Source organism: Homo sapiens, chromosome 18 (assembly GCF_000001405.40).
Source record: "Homo sapiens chromosome 18, GRCh38.p14 Primary Assembly".
Taxonomy (NCBI): Eukaryota; Metazoa; Chordata; class Mammalia; order Primates; family Hominidae; genus Homo; species Homo sapiens.
In genome coordinates, this window is record NC_000018.10 from 41,743,443 (window position 1) to 41,766,057 (window position 22,615).

Consider the following 22,615-nt stretch of genomic DNA (forward strand, 5'->3'; position numbering starts at 1 on the left):
CCAGAAGGAGAACAATTTATTTTTTCTTAGATCTCTAAATGTGTCCAGTATTGGCTTAGAAGAAAGATTTCCCTGGAATAATCTAGAGGACTTCGTTGAGGTTTATGGTAAGGGCACAAATTTACAAAATGTCAGCACCTATCTACCAGTTTCCAAATGGTCAGCATCTCTAGTTTGAAGAAAATGCTAAGATGAAAAAGGAAATTCACTGGTTCTCCTTTTTTATTTGATAAACTGCTGACATAAATTTCTCATTAAGAACCACAGTGACGAATAGAAAAGACGTAAAGAGAAAAGTCAGGACAAAAGGAAGTTAAAGAATGGAAAATAAAAGAGATGGGAGGATATTAAATATCGAGTTACCCAACATCTTTAAAGAATAGGATGTTCTGTGTAAGCAGTATTTCTTTACGAATGAAAATAATGTGCATACTATGTATAGCTTTCCTATTATTAGAAATTTAAGATATTTAACAAAGAAACTCCAATTAATATAACTTTGCCAGAAATTTTTGAAAGAACTTCGGAATCTCAAGTGCCTGAGATATATTAATGACTATCAACAACAATTTTGCAAAGTAATAAAGGGAGGAATAACATTTAGTTGATATTATTAGTAAAATGTAAAACTTGTAGTGGGTCAGAGATGTGAAGACAACATAATTTTCCGGAAGAATACACACCTTTATGTAAAATATCGAAGTGGGTCATAACCATATTTGCACATGATACGGAACTGCATATAATTGCCTACATATTTTATATGTAGATTTTAAGGCAGAAGATCACTTTTAATCTAGATTGCAATTTATTGGGGAGTTTTGTGTTTTATTTTTTTCTACCCACACATTATTCCTAAGGCAAGAATCCTCCAACCAAAAGAGAAGATGGCACATTCAACCACAAAAACCTGTGGGTGTAATTAGACTAAAGAACAATCAAGAAGGTAACTTTAATTTTATCTGAAAAGAAAATACATTAAAAGCTACAATTTTTGGTACAGGATTGCCTGCTAGGCAACTGAGGCAGAAGGTGCTACAAAGAATCTCGTTCTGAAAATGTAGTCAAACAGTCCTCGGCTTGCACTGATTTCCTAAGATCTTTCCACTGCAGAAAACTGCAGAATCCAGGCATCTTGGAAGACTGCTAGAATCTCACTTTTCTCTGCCATGAATGGAGTCACCATTTTTCAGAAGCCTTCATTAACTGAAATTCTAATCCTGCTTAAACTTGAATAAGGAAAACAAACAAACAAACAAATGAAAGACCTTCCTGCATACTGAATGTGTAAATCCTGGAAAACTGTTTACAGACAAGGAGTAGTCAGCCAGCTCATAGCTGTGACTTTTCTGTTCCGAGGGAAAGCAGCTTGCGAGCTGCAGTGTCCAGGAGCAGAGAAAAGCACAGTCACTGAACCCTATGAAATTTTAACAATTCATTAACAGGAAAGGGCTGCATAAAGGGATGCAGGATCAGAGGCAGCTCAACAGCATCAAATTCCGAGAGAATGAAGACCGAGAAAGGGGAGATGTGGAAATTCAGACTGAGGAGAAAAGGGAAAAGAAAGAGGAGGGAGATTTGACAGAAATAGGAACAAAGACAGGAGAGACAGGAAGGCAAAAGAATAGGAGAGATTAGAGAACAAGGGAGAGGAAAGAGGAGAAAGGATTTGAATAAAATTCAAGTCTCTAATCTGGTTTTACTTTTAATCTTCCCTCTGAGGGAGGGCATGAATGTAAAATGCTTATTGTTCCACTTTATTTTTTTTTTTCCTGAGTTCCCCTAACTGACCAAACCATGTGTTAAAAACAGTTTCCCTCCTGGAAGGGATTATGCCCTTTGACTTTCAAAAATCATCCCTCCCCTTCCCAGCCTCAATAAGGCTGGGTGGTGGTGTGTGCCCTGGTGTGGAGCCACTGGGGGTCTGCAGAAGGATGCAGTCTCAGAGAAGTCAGCCAGGCTGGTGGAGGGAAAGCATTGTTTCTTAAACACCCTTATCTTGGACAGTGTAGGCATATTTGTTTGTAAATATACATGTTATGTATGTGCTCATGTAAATAAATAAGTTTAAATATAATTTCCAAATGAACAACATGAGAAAAATTGTCGATTTTTGAGTGTGTCAAATAATGACTGCAAACAAGGTGTTTTGCAGCCGCCAGCAGTGGGTCCATCCCTGAAGCCACCCTGCCATCTAGTGGGGCACTGCCCAAATGAACACCTCTTCCAGCCACAGTCGGCCTCATTTACCCTCACAGCTGGAGACAGGGAAGTGGATTCTCCTAAATGTGTTAACTTAGCAGTGCTATATACTAGAAACAAATTAATATATAATTCTTCTGTGTCTTAAGGTCATTACTGTCAAAGCATAAATTAATAGGGCTATTCCAGTTAATTCATTTTGGCGTTTGTTTCTGCATGTCTGAGCGCATATGTGAAAATAGGCCTACCCTCCATGCCAAGGGGGAAGAAGGAAGGAGGCCTAAAAGTAGCTTAGCCAAACAAGCAGACTCTCTGACCTAAAAGCAAGTCAAGGGCAAAGCCTTTCAAATGCTGCTGCTTTGCCCTTCTCACTTCTTGGAGCCCAGACTAACAAATCCTCAGAACAGCAAAGCTCAAAGAGGAGGGGATAGTGGATGGACTCTTGGGAGTCTAGGAGGAGGTCAGGGGGCACTGTTATCAGAAGGCAGTGTTTGGAAAAACACCTGGTTCCACTTTCTAGGGCGAAAGGGATCCTGTTACAGGAAAATAAGGGCTCCTCTTTCTGACCAGGAGGTGGCATGTCCATGCTCACCTGACCAGCCTGGTTGCAGAAGAGATTGTAAGAACGGTCCCCTGCCCTTATTCCAAAGGTGGCTGCATCTTTATCGCCACTCCCTAAATCAGTGGGTTTCCAGATCATATACAGAAGTACACAGCAATGCTCTCCCACTATGAGAAGAAACAAAACAACCCACAGCAATAGAAAGGGAAGACCAAGGCGCGTGTGGGGGAAGGTGAAATTTTCCGCCACCTGATTTCAATTCTTTTCAGAATCCATAGGGGTAGAAGCGCTTGAAGAACAGGCTACACCCATTGCTGTTTGCCTCCTTTTGGTCTATTCCGAGATTCAGGTAAGAATCTGAAATTCCACCTTTTTCTGAAGTAAATCTCAAACAACCAGGGCTAGATGTAGATTCAAAGATCAGATCATCCTAGATTTTAATTTTCATCAGGAGTTATTGTCATGCGTATAAATTCTGTATTCTCAAATAAAAATATCTAAAAATGCCTTCAGGCTTCTGCTGCTAATAAAACAATGTTCTCTTGATGTGTGTGTGTGTGTGCGCGCACACGAGCTTGTGTGTGTCCTGAGAGAGCTGGGGGAAAAGGGGGCGTCTTTGCATGTCTGTCCTGATAAGAATTGCTTGATAACCACCCTAGAGAAGCATTTCTGGGGTCAGAGCCATATCTTCTCCCAGAATCTCTGCAAAAATGTATTAACCAAAGCAATATACTATACTATTGATAATGCAAATGCTGTGAGAGAAAATTCTCCACCATCACTGCAGTGCCTCCTAATCTAGTTACAAAAAAAGAGATTGACTCACATAAAACAAAAATAGGCAATGATGCAAAACATATCAAAACAAAATTTCTGAACCTTAACTATGCCTTTGAATCACCTGCAAGACTTCATACAAGTGCAGATCAGGCCACCGACAATCCCAATCTCTAGGTGCAGCTTCTCTATTTTTGCAAATTCCACAGCTAATTCTGATGTGGAGTGAAGTTGAAAGCCAATGACTCAAAATTAAAAAATAAAAATAAAAAATAAAAAGATTCTTGCATGGGTGATTCTTTTGAGCAGCCAGAAATGAGAACAAGCATATAAAATGCAATTGCAGATGGCGCGGCAGGACCTTAGCCACTGTGGGTGGTTAAGGGGAGAAACCAATGAGCGAGGGGGTTAGCACAGACACAGAAAAGTGTCCTGGAGAGGGCAGAGCTTCAAGAATGGGTGGGACATACATAGAGCAAGAACTTAGGAGAAGGTATTCTAGGTGAGGATATCAGCGCTTCTGCTGGAAAATATGCTGCAAATTCTAAGGATCACAGAGACCTGCCTGGTAAAACTGAATGAGTATCTTGGAGAACAGTGAGTGCAGCTCACCTCTGAGCCAGAAAATAGCCAAAGATATAGCTATCGAAATAAAAAGAAGTAAGTACCAAACAGTCTCAAACATGGTCCATGTTCTGTCTCAACAAATGTCCACATTTCCCTTTTGTCCAAGGCCTCCCTGATTGCCCCACTTCTGCATATGTTGAATCTCGAAGAAGTACATGGTTGGTTTTTCCCATTGTGCTGCTACCTGAGAGTTAAAGATTTCCACTTGTGAGTAAGATAATGCACTCAGCTGCATTAAGCAGACAATTAATTTATCCCCTTGGCTGCCCACTACCCATCCTTAATGTACTTTAAAAAGGAAATAATGCTTACCTTGCTTTAACTTGCACAGTGTCTGGAAGGAAAAAGGCATGCAGGAGATAAGACTAAAATCACTGCAGTAAGAATCACCCTGATCATCATTGGATCATCATGTCAAATAGAACTTCATAATATTGTTACAGAGACATCAGAGCAGATGGGTAAGAAAGAGTGTCATGTGAGAAAGTGGAGTGTTATTACTTCATTTCATCTTCCTGTATTGCAATTATAAAATGTGCTGAAATTCAGCAGGGTGACCAGTATATCAACCTCTGACAAACGCCAGGCTTTCAAGTGTCTGAGGTAATCAAAGATACCCCATAAATGGTCCAAGATAAACATGGCTAGGCCCTGATTCTTGAAAATGTGATCTGTTCAAGTGGGATTGCAAAGAGTCCACATCTTAATTGAAAGAACATAGTAATCTACTTGGCTAGGGAATTAGAATGCTCCAGAAGAAATGCTATCTATCCTGGTTGGTATAATACTTTGTTATATGAGGACATAGGCTAGAAGGTGATGGTCTCACAAGATTCCTATTAGCTCTTCAATACATAAGCCTGAATCATTTAATTTTATTTTACTCAGACAAACTTTTAATGGACTCCTATAGTCTGCATGGTATAAACTTCTTAACAGGAGATTCAAAGCCCTTGATCATCTAGCTCAAACTAGTCAGGCAAACTTTTTTCACACTGTCCTCCCACATAAATTCTGTTCCATTTGCGTTGAGCTGCATAATACCCTCTGAATACACATTACTGAAACTTGCCCCCATCCATTGCACGAGATTGGCCATCCACTACAACATTTTACCATAAAAAATTGTAACAACAAAAAATAACAGCATTTTATTCATCAAACAAAATCTTCCCCAACATCCAAGTCGGTCCCTTCCTCTCCCATAGAGTCTTCTTTGAAAGTCTCATTATGAAATATCTTCTTCTGAGGACTGGTAGTGCTTGATATCTCCACTGCCATGTCACACACTACATTACATGGCTAATTATCTGTTTCTATGAATAGGCCTTTCTCCCTTTCTAAATGACAATTTCATAAGATCACACCTGTGTTTTAAAACTTTCACCTTTTTACAGAATCTGGTACTGTGCCTGCCCTAGACTTGATGCACAGCAAGGTCAAGAATCAGGTCATGTGTTCACTACTATATTCCTAGACCTTGGCATAGAATCTAGCGAGCTGCGGAAAGGAAAGCAGCACTTTTCCTTTTGGATTTCTCAGATACGAAGAACATCTGCTCCTCTTGACTCTGTACATGTACAGACCACGTTAGATAAATGTCAGGAGAATGGAAGTATCTACAAGTTATTTTAAATATGTTAAAAAAGAAAATCCCATTCATCCTTTAAAGAGAAAAACAAACATTATAAGCCCTCTTACGGTGAATTTCTATTTGGCTAACAATCTCCAATGAAATATAGAGATAAAAATCAAAAATAATACAGAAACATAAAATTAAAAATAGTTCAAGTTGTGAGATTTATTCAATAATTGCATTTGATTTGGGGGTAGTTTTTTTTATTTTTGTTTTTGTTTTTGTTTGTTTGTCTTTTTTTCTTGAGACAGAGTTTCACTCTTGTTGCCCAGGCCAGAGTGCAATGGTGCAATCTCCGCTCACCACAACCTCTGCCTCCCAGGTTCAAGCGGTTCTCCTGCCTCAGCCTCCCGAGTAGCTGGGATTACAGGCATGCACCACCACGCCCGGCTAATTTTGCATTTTTAGTAGAGACGGGGTTTCTCCATGTTGGTCAGGCTGGTCTTGTGCTCCCGACCTCAGGTGATCTACCCGGCTCAGCCTCCCAAAGTGCTGGGATTACAGGCATGAGCCACCGTGCCCAGCCAGGTGTTTATTTTTTTAAGTGAAATAGTAGTTCATAACCCACTAAAAATTACTCTTTCAACTAATCACTGTTTATGGCACCTATCCTATACTGGGGACTGATTATAAAATTCATATTCTTTGTAACGTACACTGAGAATAGCCTCAGCGGGAAAAAAAGGGGTGAGGACAAGAATTTTTTTTATGAAAAAGTTGAAGGAAATACTCTGAAATTGGGCTCAACTTTGTCCCAGTCAACAACCGTGATGGCTTTCAACATATGTCTTACAAAGCGTATTGGCATGGATTTTGTTGCATCTTTGGTAACTATGTAAATGAGAAATTTTATGTAACCCACAATAAAGACAAAGCCATGATATAGTAATGTGCTTTCTTTTCAATCTATCCATACCTCTTTCACTGCCAGAAATGAATTTCTGAAAGAAAGTATACCTGTGATCAGCGGGTCTGCAAATCAAGACCTCGATTACAAAGTGTTGCAATGCATTATAGGAACCAAGATGCTAAAATCTGAAACTGAGGTGTTCTCATCACATTTTGGATCTCCAAAACAAAAAAGAACACCTGACTCTTATGCCTTTTCTCTTCTCCCACTCTCTTCCAACCTTTGCACACTGGATAAAGAATTTGTAATGTTGCCAACCTTGCCACTTAATGATCTGGATGCATCTACATAATGGCCTCCTGATACTGGCCGTTATAAATGAGATTCACGTTATTTATAAATTAGCTCTCTTGTTCTGCATATTCCTGAGTTTATCATCATTAAGGAGCAGAAATGTTTCTCAACAAAAGGCCCAGGTACTATGGCGATAGACACAATAGTAACGCTTAGATACACAGATAGGCATGTTGCTGTTTTGGTCTTTTGTATCCATCTTCACTTGTCCCAGATATGCCATTTTCTGATTCTCAGGGTGCAGAATGTTTTGAAATACATTTGCGTATTCATGGATTGTTGGCTGTATTCACATTTTTATATTCAGCTAATATTTAAATGTATTTAGGAAACAGGCCTCAATTTAGATTTGCAATGTGGTATGAAATATCATAAAGGGAAATCACTTTCAGGCTGTTAGATCTGGTGCAGCTGGGGAGATAGAGAGGTTCAAAACATCTGTCAGCCCACAACATTTTCACAAACCCTTTCCATACTCAACAATACTAAGCAATACGGCTGCTAACCCAGAAAACATAAAGACCTGTAGAAACATTAGAGCAAGGGAAGAAATATGATTTTCAACCATTTTATTTAAATTCTTATCGGTTCACAGACCGAGTTCTTTTGGGCAGACTAATAATGTCCAGGTGTGGGCCTGTGTCTGTGCCAATTTTAAGGCTGGTTTAGTCTATGGCTGAAAAAGACAGAGGAGGACTTCCTATAAGGAGGAAATACATGAAGAAAGGTTTCAAGGGAGCAAGCTATTTTGAGATGTCCAGTGCCTTCATCAGCACCTAATACATAAACTCTCAGGTCCTTATTTGCCTCTAGGCAATTAGCCCAGTGGATTCATGTACAGAGCGAACAAGATCTAACCCATATAAAAGTATAGGTCCCAACTTTACACGTGTTATATCCTGTGGCCTCAGGCTAAGCTCCTTATCCCAGTTAGTCATCTTGCAAAGTTAGCTGGGCAGGAGTGCAAGCCACTTCTGCTGTCAGAATAGTCTATTGATACAGAGATGGCATCTCCTGTCCATAACAGATTCTAAATGTCTCCCTTTTATAGAGAACAAAGTGTCCTAACACAAACACTACTCATGGGTAGTACTTAGTAAAGTTTTGATAATGATGTTGATAATGATAGTAGTGATGATGGTATTAATGAAAACAAAGATGAAGATATTTTTTCAAGGTTCCCACCAGCAAAAGGCAAGCAATTTATTTGTGGTCCTGCCCAAAAATAAAATAAAACAAACAAAACAAAAAACAAAAACAGAAAGCTTCTTTTATGTCGTCTGTATTGTCAATGTGTTTGTTTATGTGCATGCACACACATATGTGTGCCTGCTGATAAGGAACTAAACAAAATTAACAGCTGACATTGGTCAAAGCATCAGCTGTGGCCTGAGATAAATGGCACATTGTGGTAGTGTTCCACTTTCATGATGTAGCTGTGGCTGAAAGTCAGACAATAAAGTCACTGCCTGTCTCTGGCAAAATTTACATTGATTAGAGAAGCAATCACTCAACAAACATCCCTGGCCAACTCACATGATTCTGGAGACACATAATCTATATTCATAAAGCATTTTGGGATAATTAAATATCAGGTTCTAGGACAGTACAAGATACAATTAATCATTGAGAAAAACAAAGAATCTCCATTCAGCTAGATGTACGGCACAGGTGAGGAGAGAGGGAGACCGGAAAATTTTAAATCCACTTCACAAATCCACTCAGGGTAGTGGGTTTGAAGCACTCTAATTTACTATATAATACCTCTTTTAGAAACAACAACTTAGAATCAGCTAATAGATTACACACTGAGAGCAAAGAGACAATCTGGTAACAAGCCATTTCAACATAGAAGACTCAAGATTTCACTCAATAGAAACCAAAATAAGGATTAACAGTGCCACTATTTAATTAATTATAAAATAACTCAATAGTTCATTATCTTTCTTTGAATATGGCATTTGTTTCCTTAATCCGAATGTAGGATCTTTAAATCAGGGATTATGTGATATATTTCTTTTGTACCAAACCAGTATTTAGCACAGTGCATTGCAATGCGTAGATACTCAATAAATTTCTGTTCATTGATAGCTTCACTAGTATTCTCGACACAGGGCTCTGATTATTATAACATTACCATACACACACACACATACACACATACACACACACACACAAATTGTCACTGACTCCCTATTAGCTGTAAAATACAGTCTAAGACTTTGAGCTTATTCCACACCTTGTAACTGAGCCCAAACTGACCTTTCCAACTTTAATTTCCCCCTATGCCCCCATACAGCTCACAGTTTGCTATTTATGTGCCGCAATTCCTTGCATTGCTTGGTTCAGTTTGCTTTCTTTATATGAAATATTCCTTTTCTCATCATTTCATATTTTCCCTGGCCAAATGTTAGTTCCTTCGTGCGCCCTTCCCTGTTTCTCCCTGAGACTTCCAAATTGAAGCAATCGCCGCCTTCCTTGAACCTCCGTAGAATATTAGACATGTCTCTCATATGGATTTGCACATTCCATAGAGTCATGCTTGTGCTTGTCATATTTACTCTGCCATTCCATAAATTCTCTGAGAATAAGATCTCCAAAAGTTTGATTCATCTTCGAAAATCCCTAGGCTTTTAGCATCTTTGAAACCCCTAAGGCCCTTAACACAGAGAGGTTCCCAGTAGATATTTGCTGAATTAATTTGCTGTTGATTAATTTATTTATAGAAGAAGGAAAAATCTGGGTAGAAATTCTGATGAAGTAAATAAAAATGATCTCTTCCCTTTGATACAAATTATTACAATCACATTCTGAGTTGTTATGAATGGTAATTTAGCTCAGGAGGCATTTACTCAATACTGTGTTTAGTAACTTTAAAGACTCATCCTAGCCGCAGCAGACATATTTATATCCTAATGCACACTCCTCTCATTTTTTACACGTCCTGCCTCACCTGGTATTTCATAGTTTTTCCTTCTTCATGCCATTCACCCAACTTCCTTCCTGTCTGGCCTCACACATACTCTAACCTTTTCCTTTTTTGGTTGACCATGTAATTAAGTAGCTTATAACCTGGTTAGCTTTTTGGCAACAATTTTACCCAACCCAGTGGCTGACTGACTTCCAAAGAAAATTTTTTAAATTATAAGTTCACTCCCAAGATGCATAAGTTATCAGTCTTCTGCTTCCTGGCAGAGAAAGGAAAACAAAGGCAAAAAATACAAAAAGCACTTCCAACACAGGTAGTCATTTTTACATCCAGGGAGGTGAAATCTATCCCTTCAAAACAACACACTTATTCTGCTTAGAAGATGCCTTATAGTTTCCCAAATTTCTAGACTTTTGGAGGATATATGACTACTTTTTTTTCCAGGAAGACTTTCCAGAAAGTGGTGGACTGACATCTCCATGAGGATGACTATATATTATTTACCACATCCTGCATCTCTAGTGCAATTCCTATAATACAATGGGTCCTCTGTAAATATCTGATAAATGAGTTTACATATAAATGAATGCACAACGTTCCTCTGCAGTCCCTCACATAAATGATGCTGGTCCAAATGGTCCTAACATTTCTTTCTCCTGATGAGCTAAGAGGTCTATGAGAGCTCTATGATCTGTTTGTGACTCACTTCTCACAGACAGATGTAGCTCTACATGAAACGGGAAAATGTTGAACATAGAAGAGAGGACACAGGAGGAGAAGGCTTAGAAAAGAGACAAGGAACAAAAAAAATTAAAAAGCTATAAAAATGCCTCTATTTGCACAGCAATTTGCTACATTTTGCAATGATCTTTCGTATGCATTTTCTCGATTGGGCTTCTTGATGCCTCAGCAAGGAGCCAGAGTAGGTATCATCCCCACCTCACCACTGTAGCTCCATGCACACAGTACATGTTATATTACAGATGAGAAACCTAATATTTACAGAGAGGATCCAGCTAGTGGGTCACAGATCTCCTAATTCCAGCATCCAAATCAATATTTGAAGTAAGCTTATTTTTCAGCTGTAAATCTGACTACAATTCATTGTGCTAAACAGACATACCATGTGGAATGTTCTCAGCTCATCTCTTCCCAGTTCCTCTTTTTTCCTCTAAGTCTAGATAGATGAGGGTTTCAAAACAAACACCACACATCCTTCCCTGAAATACTCCTATTTCTCCTTACATCCAAGAATCTTTTCAGTTGTCTTGCCTGTCAATTCTGAGGCAGTGACCCACCAAGTCTACCCCATGTACTCCCAGTCACTCGGCTCATTTGTTGGGAATGAATAATTGAGTCCAATTACTACACCCCTGGCTAAGCAAATTCTGAGCAATCCTAGTGAAACACTTGTAGCCTAGCAGTCAAGCGCTGTCTTTAGCACAGTGTGGTCAAAAACGATTTGGCTAAATCAGGTAGAGAAAACGCCTGCTTTATCTAAAAGAAATTTCTGAGGAAGTCTCTTCAAACAGTTTTGAAAGAAGAACATAGGTTCTTGGCCTTTCATCCTTTTTATAATTACTCTATGATGCCTAGTGGGCAGTAGCAGGTGGAAGAAACACTTGAGGGTGATCTCAGAGTCTGGGATCTTGGTCCCTGGCCTTGAGCCTCGCTCTTACTAATTAGGAGACCCTGGTTGTTCAAAATGGGCCTGGATAGGGAAGCCCATATGACCCTTTTGCCAAGACAAAGACCCTCCGCTTCCAGGGCTGTAGCCCACCTTAGAGAGCCATAGTGTCTGGCATTCAGTCCCTGCTTAGCCGCTGCCAGGCACCTTTGCTCAGGATACACACACCCCCACAATAGGAGGTAGCCTTGCCTGGTTGTCCTTCACCAAGCTCCCCTTTTTCTTTAATTTAATTTAATTTTTGAGACAGTCTCGTCCTGTTGCCCAGGCTGGAGTACAGTGGCACGATCTTGGCTCACTGTGACGTCTGCCTCCCAGGTTCAAGCAATTCTCCTGCCTCAGCCTCCCAAGTAGCTGGGACTGCAGGCATGCACCACCACACCCAACTAATTTTTGTATTTTTAATAGCAATGGGGTTTCACTATGTTGGCCAGGCTGGTCTTGAACTCCCGACCACGTGATCCACCTGCCTTGGCCTCCCAAAGTGCCTGGCCCAAGCTATCCTTTCACAACTTCAAGTACACCCAGGTGGCTCTAGGAGCCTCTGGTATTATAATGATATTTGAGAAAATTCTTCCTGATCTCTCCTTTCCACTCCTCCTCCCCTCTTTGCTGGGCAGCATGTTGCAGACCCCTCAGCTTTGCCCCGACTCATCTGGCCCCATTTAAACTTGGCATCAAAAAGATGCTATTCCAGACTGCCAATTTTTACCCCCAATTTTCAGTCTCTGGATATCACTGCTAATTTTTATTCCCAGTTTCCAGGCTCTTCAGTACATAGCACTTCTCTCCTTTCAAACAGCTGAGAATCGCTTCATCCAATGCTTAGGCCAATGACCAAAACTAAAAAAAATGGGAATGTGCTATGAAGAGGAATTATCATGAAGACAAATATCAAATTGTAGCTATGAAATTATTTTGGCAAATACATAAAGGTGTGCTATAGCAATGCAATGCATGGAATTCCAGGCAGATCAGATCTCTAGAAAGGACCCTAGGTGAACAAGTGCCCAAATGCACTTACATACTTCTACACCACAGCCTTGGAGAGGCAAGGAGCACCCAGATAGCTGCTGGCCTCCCCGCCTCCATTTCCTCACCCACGTAGTAAAACAAGGCAAAGTTTATATTCTTTCCATTCGTGTCTGTAAAATTCCCAAGGAAAGTACTTGGCAAAGGAAGAAAGACAGCTAAAATCAAACCTCAATTTTTTTTTCCTCCTTCCTCTCAGATCCCCTGATTTATTCACTCCAGAAGACAAGTGGCATTTGGAATTTAAACTTTCAAGCCTAGAGGAATAACGGCTAGGAAGATGAGAAGATAAGTCAACCAAAATAGAGTAAGTTAGAAAAGGCAAAGGAGGGGGAAGTCAGGGTAGAGAAAAAAGAAAACAATGAATGAAATAAGAGAGGAGGGGTGGAGCTACGGAAAGAAAGAGGAAGAGAGTTGGAGGGAAAGATGTGGGAGAGAGATCAAATGCAGGAGAGAGGGAAATGATAAAGGAATGAAAGCAGAAGAAGTGGAGGAGGAGGAGAAAGCTAAAGGAAACAAGGAGAAGGAGGGGGAAAAGCAGGGGAAATATGTTGGGTGAATGATGCTTAATTTGATACAAAGGTAAGTTGTCATTGAAAGCACCAGATGTTTTCATTTGCCACAGCTAAGATTTAAAAGACAGAAATTCAATTTAGTTGTTCTTTTCTCTAATAAAAAAATATGTTTTATCCCAATGGGAAGACCTGTTTCTTTCTGCCAATAAGTATCAGCACCTAATCTGAAGCCTTCAATAAAACAATGCCATTAAATAATTTAACATGGAAAAAAGCCACCGATGTCTGTGAAATAATGTATAGATTTCAGATGGATCAAACTTTAAAACGGAAAAACAAAGTGTAAGAAATGAGTTTTGGGAAACAAAGGGGCATCTGCCACCAAACAAAAAGGAAATGCATCAGGCCTAGAGCATTGGAAGTAGCCACAGCAAGCATCTACACTAGCACAGCGTTGTGTTAAAGCACACAACTGCCTTCTCTCAATGCTCTGAGAAAAATATGCAGAACAGAGAGCATGCAGAATGAAATCTGGGGACCAAGTCAAATTGATTATTCTTCCCCCAGAATACAAACCTGTGCATTCAGTGAGATCTCTCAGAAATGTCCATAGAGGGTGGTCACCACATGGGGGTGTCCTCCAGGATTTCCAGAATAAAAGAGAAAGAACCGGGACTAGATCCTAGCAGACTGAAGGTCTAATTCAAGTTTGCCACTAACTAAAACATAGTCTTTTTAAGGTTTTTATTCCCAAAGGGTCTTCATTTTTTTCCCATTGGTAAATTTTGATGATGGTACTTTAAAAACCATAAAAGTGTCATGGAAACACACAGTGAAGTTACTCTCTGCACAAAACTTCCCTCTGATTACTCATTTACTTATCCTTTCACTCACTGGTGTCTCATCAACAGCAATACAATTATCTCTACTAATTCTGAAGATACCTATTTCCTTCAACACCCCCATAAAATGGTCTATAGACCAAAAGGTTTGAGGGCCACTCACTCTGGAGCTCTCTCTCTTTCCTTCCCTCCATTAGTACCCTTATTAATCATCCAGGCCAGTGGTTTTCTACTCAAGCTGAGCATTAAAATCACGCAGGGAGCTAAAAAAAATAATAAGCAAAACAACGACCACAACAACAACAAAAAGGAAAACATTGATGCCTCAGTCGCACTCCACACCAATTAAACCAGAATCTCTGTGGATTGGCACAGGTTTTCATAGTTTTTCAAGCTTCCAAGGTCATTCAAATGCATAATCAGTGTTGAGCACCACTGCTTCAGCTATACCATGGCAGTTCACTGACAGAAACACATTTGGCCAGTCCTTTCAAAACAAGAGGCAAATCAAAGGTGGACATGGAGAATCTTGTCATGAATAAAAACTGTACCTTTAGAACAAAGCAGCTAGGAACAGAGGATAGGGAGAATAGTTAAAGTTATTAAAACTCTAGTCATTATCATCTGCCTAATGATTGAGGAAAGACTCATCTAGCATAGCTTCAATTTTTGCAATCTTTGGAGTTGGCCCTTTATAGTCATTACCCAAATTTGAGTTAGTGTATGAATGATACCTGAATTCATGGTTATAGTTTTCCCAAACAGGATCTGGGAAGTAAACAAATACAAACTTCCTTAAATGGCACAGGAAAATCAGCACAGTCTTCTGAAAACAAAGCAAAACAAAACAGGCTTTGGAATGGACAAAAGTAGGTTTGAATTCATTCTGCCACCTTCCAGCTAAGTGGCCTTGTACAAGTCATTTTACTTTTATCTGAGCCTTAGCTTCCTTATTTGTAAAAAAGGGGATAACAATAACTACTTTGAAGTATTGTAAAAATGAGAGATAGATATAGAGACCCCATGTGTCAACAGCACAATTAAATGTTGACAATTAGAAAGATGATGATAATCACCATCATGACTGAAAACAGAAAACTGCTGGGAAGACAGGGTATAGGAAAACTGGTCAGCTACTTGGAAGAAATCTTATATTTGGCATTACAGTGCTTCACCAAAAAATAGATACACAACGGAAAATGTGAATATTTATAAAGTTATTTGAAATTATAAACCTTAGATGAAAGGTTTATAATTTGAATTGGCAGGAAGCCAAAAGCCACCTTTTCCAGCTTTCTCTTTGACTAAGGAGGAAGCAAGACTTCTTGGCCCAATCTTGGCATTCTCCTTTCTCTTTTCTTTCTGACTTGAATGCAGATATAATGGCTAATGCCAGCTTGAAACAATAATGGAAAAGCTAAGAGAATCACGAGAATTCAATCCCGACATCACTAAACCACCGACTCTGTACCTGTTTAACTCTAGATATTTTGTTGTGTGAGAAAAATTCAACTATATTTGCATAATAAGCATCCATAATCAAGTTTTGTATTACTTGCAGCTGAATACAGTCCTCGCTGATAGAGTATAATTGACTAAATCTAAAAAATTCACAACTTAGAGTCTGAGTAGCTGTCACCCACAGATTTCAAAATCAATAGAGTTGAACACATAATGTTAATCTATACTCAAAGAAAGGACCTTTTCTACAATTAAAGCAGAAATGAATTGCAAACTGTTTGTGAAATGCAAAGCAAACTATACTGAGAGAAAATGCATGCTCTCCAACTTTGAATACTCCAGCTTAGTACAGCAAAGCAAACTGTACTAAGAAAGAAGAGGCATGCTCTCCAGCTTTGGATCCAGCATCAAATCACAGGCTGCTTTTAGCCTGTGTGCTCAGGACTCCAATCTTTCATCCTGATATGTAAAGCCTTTCCTTATCTGAAACTTTTTACTCAATTTTGATATAATTAAGGTTTCCCAACTGTCATCTGTGCATACCATGGCTTTTCATGCCTTTGAGCTTATTCCTACCTTTCTCATCTGGAGGAATGTCCCACCTCATGTCTCTGCATCTGTTTCAGCTGTCCGTATTCTTCTAATGTTATGCCTCCTCCCTGAAGATACCCCGGATTTCTCAAATGCATAATGCTCTCTTCTTTTAGTTTTTAATTAAAAACACGTTTATGAGTGTGCATGCATGCATATTCACACACACATGCATACACAAAGTCTTCTACCTTTGTCATACATCTAAACTTGCTTCCCAGGTTGTGATTTTGGAAAAAGGCAAGGCCCATCGTATACTCAGCATCTCCAATCTTACTGCCCAGACTTATTGTTGGATCTGCACTAAAGTTAATGAAAAACTTTGAGAACTCTCAGGCAAGTGATCAGAATTTTTATGGAATCTTCAGAAGATACCACCCCTGCCTTTATCTAATGCCTCTCTTCAGAATATCAGAAATTCAGGGTGGTCCCTAAGGAGGCATTTTAAATTGGTACAATTGGCCTGGCAACTCTCACTCGTGCATAGCCCTAAAGAAGCCAGTTAATTGAAGCACCAGAAGAATTGGTGTTATCTGGTCATATGTGGCACATTGGCCAAGCTATCTGTCACTCTGTGACCAAGAGAGTTTCCACCAGCCCAAGGAGCTCCAAAAGTTTCTGCTGCAGAAAGTCTTGCTTCTCATTCTTGTCTGTTCCTCTCCTATGCATACTCTCACCCACTTGTTTTCTTTCTCCTTTCTTTTTCCTCCTTTCTCAATGCATCTCATCTCTTCTGTCTGCTTTCCCATTTCCCTAACATTTCTGGTTCTGCATTGCCTTTGCTTTTCTCTATAAACTTTCACTCATTGATCATTGCTTTGAATATAATTGTGTTTTTTTTTCACTCTATGTGTTCTCATTTGTTCAAAATTCTCAAGTTTGATTTACCAGTCTCTTATTTACCTGTTAGATGGCTGAAGGACAAACTAGGTTTTTTTATGATGATGAAAACTAAGGCCCTGGCAGGAGAGGCATTTGCTCAAGGTCACAGTAAGTTCTTGTCAATGAGGACAACCACACCCCGTGAAGTTCATGGCACCGACTGTACTACCTCGGATGTAAAAATCAATTCTCTGACAGACAGCAACCAGACATCACAAACTTCAGAATAGTGATAGAAGACCTGATTAATTATTTCCATAAAGAAATGACAATAAAAAGAGAAGAGAGTTAAGAAACTTAGAAAGAATGAAGAAATGAAGAACAAATGCCTGTTTTCCGAAAAACAGTGTTAGCAGGATATTAGATTTAGTAGTGAATGTTAACGTCCTTTTCTACACCTGCCCTACCATGCCTTTCTGTTAGCTGGGGATTTATTTCAAGGCCTTACCAATCATATGCTAAAGCTGGAACATCACTAAAACATCTTCTGGGAGGAGAGGGAGAAATCCAATCTAGGATTGAAAGCTGCAACTGTCATAGATAAAAAATATCCTCTGAAGACTGCTATTGAGTCAGACAGGTGGAAGAATTACTACAAAGTTGTCTGAGCTTCATGTAAGTTACTGGCTAGTACTTAGCCCAAAGCCAGGGGTATCCATTTCTAGGGACCCTCGAGAAGAATGTAATTTGGGGCTGTTCGTATAATCACTCTCCAGTGATTCCACACTGCTCTCAGTAGGGACCCCAGAAGGAATTGGCTGAAAAGACCAGAGTTGTAAAGAATTAGACCTTTTTACTCTGAATTGTGCATTAACAAAACTCCCAGCAATGTTGAGAAATGTTCCGGCCAGAGAAGAAATACCTTTTGAATAAAACTATTCTGTAACTTTCCACGTATTGAATGCATGACACCATTGTCATCAATAAGCTGTTACAAGAGCCCATGGTTCAATACCCATGCATTTGTACATTTATGTCCTGTTGACAAGAAACTCCCAGTTTTTAGTCATATAATCTCAATTTTCCTCATTAGAATCCTGTATGCCAACTGACAGCCCCAGTTAGGCCCATATTCCCTAGAATCCTCAGCTTTATAATCTCAGTATCTCACACACACACTCACAAGTACACATACACACGAGCACACTCATATCTCATGCACATATACAGAAATGATTACTAGTTATATATTCTGTATCAAATTATCCAGGTCTAGCTGTTGCCTATGATCATGGATACTTCAATATGTGAATCCTTAATTCATGTAGAACAGCTTTACCTTTATTCAGTAAAAATTATAATTTTATGACTTTAACAAGAGCCTAAATGATTCTTTACTTCCTCGGGTAGCTGAGTGATGAGTCAGAATGCTCACTCAGGGACATAGCCTCTGGACAAAATTACCTAATATGCAATTACAAAATCTCTCTTTGCAGAATTTTATTGTAAAAGGGCAACTCACTCACTGGGAATGCAGACTCTTCAGAATGCTTTCTCTCATAATCAGGGTCATGGCTTTTTATTGCTCAGGAAAAGCAGAGTGGCTTACCTCTTCAAGTAAAGAGTAGCTTGACCAATTATTAAAAAGAAAGAACTGTTCTGTGTATCTTTGAAAGAGATTTTTTGGTATCTTTAAAACTTGAAAGAATATGTGGTGGGCTGCATTTAAGTCTTTAAACTGACAGCTCCAACTTGAAACTTCAGTATTCTTAATATAATGTCCTATGCCCTCAAGATGTTAAACACAAAAGGACCTTCATGTACTTTCAACTGTGAGGTCTCTCTCAGCATACCTATATACCTTCACTTCCTCCCTCTTTTTACTAACCTACAAATGCCACAACCTTTCCTTTTCCCATATAAAAGGATATCAAACAAATTGCACTTCTTGATATATGTTGGTCCCTTCACTCAGGAAAAACGACATGGCTATTTTATTAGACGGGAGGTCTCAAGAGCTCCTGAACCCCACAGACAGTCTCATAAATTACCAAGAGCCACACCACTAGAACAACAATAAACTTGAAATGGGTTAAGTGATTTTGATCCTGGCTTGTCCCTCCCCCTCCGCCATCTCTCTGTGGAAAGTCCTGTAACCATATAGCTCTGTGGATGTGTAATCATTGATACCTGGATACCTAATACCCAAATGTAAGAACAACATCACACCTGACCTTGGTCTAAAATCAGCAAATTAGTTACATCTTTGGATAATATTCCCTAGAAGAAATTGATAGTAACTATCTATGGATTTACATGTCCCTATAAATACATTTCACTACTTGAAGTTATTCATGTGTTTTACCTCTACAATGATGGCATTGTGTCTAAAAATATGTAACCTTTTCAATTTTTATGTATAATAGTGTTTTCTTTTATTTGACTTCAATGTATACCTTTAAGAAATGACCTCTGGTATGAGTATTCTGTATTGATCTAGTTGAGATCGATCAAGAAGACAGCTGGAATCAGATCAGCAATGTTGCAGTCCAGTGTGCCTGCTGGGTACAACTGCAACTCCAACTTAAAGAGCAAGAACAGGATTTGAAGAAGAAAAGCTCACCTGGGAATGCTGAGGACTTCCACTTCCTCTCTTTGGCTCACCCCCTGAATATGAGAGATGTGTCTGCATTCAGACCTTAACTACACATGCAGCACAAGACAGCCCTGTGAAATAGGCAGTGATCATAAGACCTCTAAATTGTAATTTTGTCCTCAAATTTGTGGCTCTCTACCACTGCATTCATTTCCAGCCACAACAGCGTAACAGAGTTCGTTTGGAAAAGGATGGCCATTTGGTTTGCTAGCAAACACATGAGCCACGCCATAGGACGTGTGCTAACCTTTCAGATGCTTCTTTTCACTCTTCACCTTCCTAAAGCTCAAAACTCACAGCAGAAAGTCACTTTATGCAGGAACATCCTCCTTTTCCTCTATGTCCTGAAAAGGATAATTTGGTAAGATGGCATTTATTGAAAATGAGTGATGCAAATGCAAAAAAATTGAAAATAATAAGTTTTGAAAAGAATTGGGTCTGAATGTGAGTACCAATTCTACCTTGGTGTTGCTGAGCAAGTACATCAATCTCTCTGAGCTTCTGATTCCTCATCTGAAAAACTGGAGAGACTAATAATACCTACAATGGTGGGCGGTTGTGAGAATGGAATGGATAATGCATGCAAAGTGCTTCCTCACCCTATGCAAGCACAAAGTAGATCCTCACAAGTGTCTTCCCAATTTTGTTTCACCCACTTCTTCCCCTAGCAGAAGTAGTAACTCAGGCCAGGCAAATTACTAACAGGCTGAATTTATATTTCAATCTGTGTATTATGTAGCAGAAGGTGGGTTATTACACCAAACTTTTTTGAAATAGTTAAGACTTTTCCTTAGCAGATGAAACAAGGTCTCTGCGGAGCTTTCCCACACAACATTTTTGCAAGTTATTCATCCATCATTTATTGAATAGTTATTATGTCTAAGTACATCATTAAAAATACAAAGATGAATAAGACTCAAGTTCTCACTCATCAAAAGACTTACATACAGCCTCTTATTTCAAATTTGCTAAAGAATTTCATGACCTGTTTGTTGCACCAGGGGTAGATAACAAAAAAACTTGGGAAAAAATGCATATGCCCAGTTTTATTTGAAATCTCAAGCACAATTCACTTTGTGAACTATTTAAACCAAACTTTACCAAAATCAACCTGATCCTCAGTCTTGACTCTTATAGGAGGAGATATTGAATTCGAGCCCATGTCAAACTAATGAATCCATTACTCTGTTCCTAATTTTGGATCTCATAAGCCTGAGCTTTGGGAAAATTAAATGATTATATCTATATTCAAGTTTGGAGTTAAGAAAATAGACAAAAGAACAAGGAGAGAGCTTTGAGGCAGCCAGGGAAATAATGAGGAGCAAATGCCAAGTAACAGTCACGAAATTAAAAGAAAATGTTCTTTCATGAATGTGACAATGGGATCATTTGGGTTTGCAATATCTTTTTTTTAAATGCAATAATTTGGTGAAGATGAAGTCACAGGGCTTTGAGGGGAGCATGGTGGCCTGCAGGAAAGCATAGATGGCTGGAACCAAGCTCAGCAAAGGCCCAGCCCCACGCAGCCACTTCTCTGAAAGGCCGCAATCACCTCGCACCAAGGCCAGTCAGACTTGTCAGGGAGACGAGCGGGAAGCAGCTGGAGGAGCTGAGATTAATGAGGAAGCACAAAATGAAAAAGAGCAACAACTGGAAACCCTTGTGGTGACATCAGGAACAGAGCCAGAGAAGACAACCTTGTTATCACATCTGCTCCATCATTATAATTAAATGGTAATGCGCCTCTCTTGTTGGGTTACCAGGGTGGAATTCCAAGTGAGGGAGCCCCTCACCACTCACCCGGGCCCCCAGCCACTGCCTTTCTCGTTGAAGCTGAGGAATCATTCCAGGGCGCTAATAGGCTGGGTGTCTGGAGCAAGTGTTAATTTTGGATTACATCTGAGTGGAAATAAGATGAAGGTCTGGGGAATGCTTTGCCTTCACTCAGATGTTTCATTTCCATTTACTAGCATTGCAGGATACCCAGGGAAATGTTTTTATTCCAATTTAGAAGATTTCATAAGCCTTCAAATTTTCAGGTATTGATCCAAGCTCTTGAGCTTTGGAAGTGCACAGACATGCTCTGTGGAGGAAGAGGGTAGGTGTCAGAAAGCCCATCTGAGAAGAGCTGCCCACTCTCAGGTGGGCACACCTCCCTTCTCATGCCAAAATTCGCCCTGCGTGACCCGGAGGCCCATCAGAGGCACTCAGAACCATTAGCTCTGACTGGCTCTGTGCTGAGTAAATACTCTCATGTCCTAGTAGAAACTAGGGCAGCTGCTGGGCTTTTTTTTTTCCTTCCTTCCTTTCTTTCTCTTTCTTTCTTTCAAAATCAGCAAAGCATAGTTCTTAACCCCAAATGACTCAAATGTGCCTCTTAATAAGTATACTGGTTTCTGTACTCTGCTAGTAGGGGTTAGCATTAATTTGGCTACACTCTCAGTTCTTTTTCATTTGGTTTTGAATATCTCCAGTTTTTATTTGATTTTGGACAGACTCATTTGCAGGGAGGATGCCAATAATCAGATTTTCACCATTAAAGGTAAGCTATCTGTACCTGCAGGAAAAGGCCACTGTCTATCATCTTTGGAATCTGTGAGCTAAATAGCTGTTGTTTGTGAAGCCTCCCAAAGGAGGTTTTGAAAAACAAAGCACTTCACTCAATGAGAGCAGGGAGGTTATGGAGTGACGCTGTGCTCATGCATTATTCAGCTCAGCCTCCACCAGTGAGTATCTGGTTATCATAATGCCCCAGTACCTGGGTATTACATGCTATATCCTCACGGCAAGAAACAGATATAACTGAGCCTAAAAGGGATTTAATTAAGAAATAATATTCGTGTTTTCCTTTAAATTTAGGGTTAATAGTTTAGTGAATTAGAGAATAGAAAATCTATTGAAGAAGTTTCCCTTTTGATGAAAAATTATCCTGACACCTTGGCGAGATTTATTTACTGTCACAAAACAATGACACACCAAGTGACACAACCATGGGGTGCCTTACCTGTTTAGTTTCTACCTAGCATTTAGACCTGCTGTACTAGAAAAGATGTGTTAAAATTAAGGCCACCT

General features: G+C 39.5%; 2 annotated features.

The window, feature by feature from the left end:
• Window positions 955–1,456: an enhancer, noted in NCBI's record as "NANOG-H3K27ac hESC enhancer chr18:39324361-39324862 (GRCh37/hg19 assembly coordinates)". NCBI's record gives its function as "activates a minimal SCP1, AML or CMV promoter by ChIP-STARR-seq in primed H9 embryonic stem cells {active_cell/tissue: H9 hESC(primed)}" and the evidence as "EXISTENCE:reporter gene assay evidence [ECO:0000049][PMID:30033119]".
• Window positions 1,457–1,956: an enhancer, noted in NCBI's record as "NANOG-H3K27ac hESC enhancer chr18:39324863-39325362 (GRCh37/hg19 assembly coordinates)". NCBI's record gives its function as "activates a minimal SCP1, AML or CMV promoter by ChIP-STARR-seq in primed H9 embryonic stem cells {active_cell/tissue: H9 hESC(primed)}" and the evidence as "EXISTENCE:reporter gene assay evidence [ECO:0000049][PMID:30033119]".